Genomic DNA, 5,503 nt, shown 5'->3' with positions numbered 1-5,503 from the left:
CATAATTTTGAACTTTAAAAAAATAATAATTCATCATGGGGTGGGGCATATGTATTTACAGAATCCCATCGGTGGTACCAGACCCCATAGCTCCCCGATCCACACAGCTGCAACTGGGTAGTTATAACATTTGTATCTCCCCAAATCAGCGTAGAGTTGATGGAAATTCAAATGGTGATAGAAGACCAGGGCAGGAGAAAGAATAGAAAGACAAGGCACGGACATTTAATCAATGACCCTGAGGAAATTTGAGCTGATCAAGCTGCAGGCGCCCCTGCTCCCGACAGGAGCCAGTGACACCCGCTGCCCACAAGGGGGCGGTATCTAACCAACTGCAAACCCAGCTTGAGCGGCCGCGGCACCTGAATGCAGCTATTTGGAATACACTCGAAAACTGAGTTTCTTTAGCCATTGATTAGTTTATGTGTCTGTCTTGCTATCGTTTTGACCCCAGAGTGCACCAAAATACTGAAAGCTCAGAACTGGACGCCAATTTTCAGGAGTAGCTTCTCATAAAAGATCAACAACATTTAGTGCCAATCCTTTGATGACCTTCCTCCCTGCTCATCTCACACAAAACCCAAAGCCTTGTTAGCCCTTGAAGTCACAAATTACATTAAAAGGAAAAAAGGGAAGAAAAATTCAAAGTCTGGTTTCAGAGCCAAAAATGGAAGGTGCTGGCCGGGCATGGTGCCTCATGCCTGTAATCCCAGCACTTTGGGAGGCCAAGGCAGGCAGATCACTTCAGGCAGGAGTTCAAGACCAGCCTGGGCAGCATAGCAAGACCCAGTCTCTACAAAAAATACAGAAAGTAGCTGGGCATGGTGGCGCACTCCTGTGGTCCCAGCTGCTCAGGGAGGCCTCAGCCTCCTGAGGCTTGCTTGAGTCCAAGAGGTCAAGGTTGCAGTGAGCTGTGATCAAACCACACACTCCAGCCTGGGTGACAGAATGAGACCCTGTCTCAAAAAAAAAAAAAAAGAAAAAGAAAAAAGAAAAAAGAAAAATCCAAAAATGGAAGGTGGAGGGATGTCTCTAAATAAGAAAAACATCTGGGCAGGCACGGTGGCTCACACCTGTAATCCCAGCACCTTGGGAGGCCGAGGCAGGTGGGTCACCTGAGGTCAGGAGTTTGAGACCAGCCTCAACATGGAGAAACCCCGTCTCTACTAAAAATACAAAATTAGCCGACTGTGGTGGTACATGCCTGTAATCCCAGCTACTCGGGAGGCTGAGGCAGGAGAATTGCTTGAACCTGGGAGGTGGAGGTTGCAGTGAGCCAAGATTGCACCATTGCACTCCAGCCTGGGCAACAAGAGCAAAACTCCATCTCAAAAAAAAAAAGAAAGAAAGAAAGAAAGAAAAACATCTGAATAGAGGTTACCATCCGGTCCTGGTGTCATCTTAGCCCTCCCATCCCACTCCCAAAGCCAGAGGGGCCCCCAAGACAAAGAGGCCTATATAAAAATGCAGAGCTGGCCGGGCACGGTGACTCACGCCTGTAATCCCAGCATTTTGGGAGGCTGAGGCGGGCGAATCATGAGGTCAGGAGATCGAGACCCTCCTGGTTAACACAGTGAAACTCCTTTTCTACTAAAAATACAAAAAAATTAGCCAGGTGTGGCAGTGTGTGCCTGTAGTCCCAGCTACTTGGGAGGCTGAGGCAGGAGAATGGTGTGAACCTGGGAGGCGGAGCTTGCAGTGAGCCGAGATCGCACCACTGCACTCCAGCCTGGGCGATACAGCGAGACTCCCTCTCAAAAAAAATAAAAAATAAAAATAAAATAAATGAAAACACCAGAGCTATGCTATTTGAGCCTGGGATTCAGGACCACTTCAAATCCTCAGATCTCAACAGATCACAGAAATCAAACTCTATTTACTTCCGCATCCCTGGTCCCAAAGACTTAGCTTGACAAGGAAAGAGAGCAAACAATAGACCCGGAAACCAAAGACCAAATCTAAATAATGTAATTACTCTCCAGTTGCACCTCACTGGTTTATTTCCTTTGGATGAACACCCCACCACACCCACAAACACAGTGTGCTAACCTTTATCTAGAATCAGGGGTTCTCAAACTTCAGTGCGCATCAGAACCCTCTGAAGGGTTGATAAACCACAACCGGCCGGGCCCCTCCCCTGGAGTTTTTCATTCAGCAGGAATAGGGTGGGCCTGATAATTTGCATTTCCAACAAGTTCCCACTGACGCTGATGCTGCTGGTTGAGGGACCACACTTTGAGAACCACTGTTTATTAATAACACAGTACAGAGGGATTGGCCCATATATTGACTTAAGCATGAGAATGCTCAGAAAAAAAATCCATCAAATAAGAAACTAATGTTTATTAACACTACCATATGCTGGATGCTTTACATTCGTTATCTCCTCTTATTTCATCTTCACTAATTTCTGAAATTCAGTATCATTATTCCCATTTTCAAATGAGAAAACGAAGGCTACAGGAGGTTGGTTGACTGAGGTCATTCAGCTAGTAAAGTGTTAGAAACGGATTTGATCCAGCTTCAAAGTCCATGCTGAATATTCATTCTATCTCCCATATGAAAAGCAGATGAATTGAAATGAACAAAGAAGAATAAAAATAAGCAGTTTTTTTGTTGTTATTGTTGTTGTTGTTTGAGATGGAGTCTGGCTCTGTCTCCCAGGCTGGAGTGCAGTGGCGCGATCTCAGCTCACTGCAACCTCTGACTCCCGGGTTCAAGCGATTCTCCTACCTCAGCCTCCCAAGTAGCTGGGATTACAGGCACCCACCGCCACTCCTGGCTAATTTTTGTATTTTTGGTAGAGGTGGGGTTTCACCGTGTTGGTCAGGCTGGTCTCGAACTCTTAACCTCCGGTGATGTGCCCACCTCGGCCTCCCAAAGTGCTGGGATGACAGGTGTGAGCCACCACGCCCAGCCAAAAATAAGTAGCTTTTAAATGAAAGTGGAAAAGCAAGCAGTGTAGGGAAGCTTTATAGCCACAATTGGTATCAGAGGTGGCTATGAGGTCGCCCTCGTGCCCCATGAAACGTGTAGCTCTTGGAAGAGGCCGGACTCAGAAAGCCCAGCCAGTGTTTAAGCTGAAGTAGCAACGAGAGGTCCTGCCTCAAAGAGAACACTATACATTATTTAGAATAGCAAGTGATTTCTATTTTTGCACTCTGAGGAGAAGAGGTATTTGCCAAAAAGAGTGTTAGGGATGTTTGTTAAAAGGTTTTTTTTTAACAGATCAGAAATCCCCAAGTTGGAGGCTTTTTAAAATGATGAATCAAAAAAGTGGAAAAAACAAATGTGACGAATGCTTAAATGGCCAAGAAACTGATTAACACCCCTCACAGCTTTCAGGTTTCTAACTCAAAAAGCAAGTGTTTGCTTCCTTAAGCATTCCCTTTCTGTTTTATTAGTCAAACAGGAAGCATTTTGATTCTGAGGGTTTTTGTGTGTGTGTGTGTTTGGTTTTGTGTGTGTGTTTGTTTATGTGTGGGTAGGGGAAGTTTCTATTCAAAGTAATGCATTGTCAGGAAATACACCTTTTGCATAAAATAATCTCAATATCCAACAAAGACTCAAATAGTTGGTATGTCTTGGCGAACAATTAAACAGATTTACATCATTAGCAATAGCGTGGAAATAAATCTAATTTCACCGTATTAGGTTACACACAATTTAATTCAACCAACAGAGCCTCCTCTGTGCAAACAAGGTGTTACCTACAAGAAACTTGTAATTTAATCAGAGTAGTAAGATGGACATACTAATAATTATGGTAACCATGATCCAGCGGGAAGGAAGCCTGTCATGAAGAATCACTGCTTTCTTCACAGTCCCTCTCACGGGTCTCTTTCTGCTCCTGTCCTGGTGTATTGTCCGCCAGCTGCCGTCTAAATGGTTCTAACCCTTCTGATGGCTTTGTTGCCCCTGACTCTGACTCGCCCAACATGCTGCTACCAGACTTATCTTCCTAAATCAGAGGGAAATTTGATGCCCCAGCTCAAAGTCTTCCTGGGGGTTTTAGTTACCTGCAGAGCTAAAGTCATACTGGTTATCAATGTCCTCCACAATTCAACTGCAAACCACCTCACCAACATTATCCCCTTTCACCCGTCTAGGAAAGGCCTCAACTCCAGGCAAATTGATATCCTCGCTATGCCTGAGACACTACAGACCCTCCTACTTAGAACCCAATGACACTGACTGTACCACTCGTTTATTGCCATGGTGCCGCAATGAACACGTGCTGCCTCGAGACAGTATTTACTTCGGTGTGTCTATCTCATGGCTCACCACGATTCCTTAAGAGGAGGAATTGTGCATTATTTGCCTTCAGTACTCAGCGCAGGCTGGATGCACAATGACCTTTAATAAATCCAACTGGCTGAGACTGTGGCTTTAATGAAAGATAACAAGTCATATCAAGTCTTGTTTTCATATCTTGCTTACAATGATCCACATTTAAGTCCATCCAAAATAAATCTGAATGTACAGAGTCATCTCAGAATCTCTTGGAGTGACACAAAGTATATTGAAGAGTTAAGATGCCGATACGCTTCAGGTGGATATATCTGTTATTCTTTGATAGGAACATTTCCCTGGTCTTTTCAAAGTATGTTAAGTGTCACAGAAAAATATCACAAGGGGGTATAGGCATCTGTTCAGTTTCATTTATTCCTAGGTTAAGAAGACGTGGCCTTCTACAAAGGGGACCAAGCTGGGAATCACAGGAGCTTCTTGGCAGTACAATCATCTGAGACAGCTGAACCAACTGGGTGTGAAAAGTCTTCTGATGACCCTGCTAGATTCTTCAGGCTAATAAGCAGTTTTTCAACAGAGACTTCAACTCAGACGCACCTTTTGATGATACGGTATATTTCTTCTATTTTTTGCCTGGTGTTCTTTCATGCTGTTTGGGCCAGTTGGTTACTTTTTTTCTGACTTGAACAAAGATAAAGTAAGATAGTTATTTTCCTCTGATCTATAAACATAGTTTTGAGATATTGTTTAGGATTGATGATAATAAATTAAAATAGTAGAATGCATACGATTTGTGAAATGCTTTTCTCTTTCCTCTTTCTCACCACCACCCACCTCACCTTCCTTCACCAAAATGGCTTATTATCCATTCAATTCCGTGCAGGAAAATGATGACAATTATTAAGTGTAACTCCGAGAATAAGAACAGAGCACCACCGGCGTGTCCCTCCACAAACACCCCTCCCCAGCCACCCTGAAGAACAGCTGCATATAGAAAATGCATTATTTACTTAAGAGCTGATGAGCCAGACAAAACTTCAGCGGTTAATCAGTGCTTTTGCCCATAATTGATTTCCAACTTGGCAAAATTGCAGAATCACTATCACGTGGGGTTTCTGGAATACAAAATAGTTGAATGGTTCGGGGCAGAGAAATTGCTCAGAATTGCTGACTCTGAACAGTGCGGGGAAGGAGGAGGCAGTGTCCTCATGAATTTTCAGTATTTTAAATTTTGTATTCCTGATTTAGATCC

Source organism: Homo sapiens, chromosome 11 (assembly GCF_000001405.40).
Source record: "Homo sapiens chromosome 11, GRCh38.p14 Primary Assembly".
Taxonomy (NCBI): domain Eukaryota; kingdom Metazoa; phylum Chordata; class Mammalia; order Primates; family Hominidae; genus Homo; species Homo sapiens.
The sequence above is the reverse complement of the archived record's forward strand: the minus strand, read 5'-3'. Positions refer to the sequence as shown.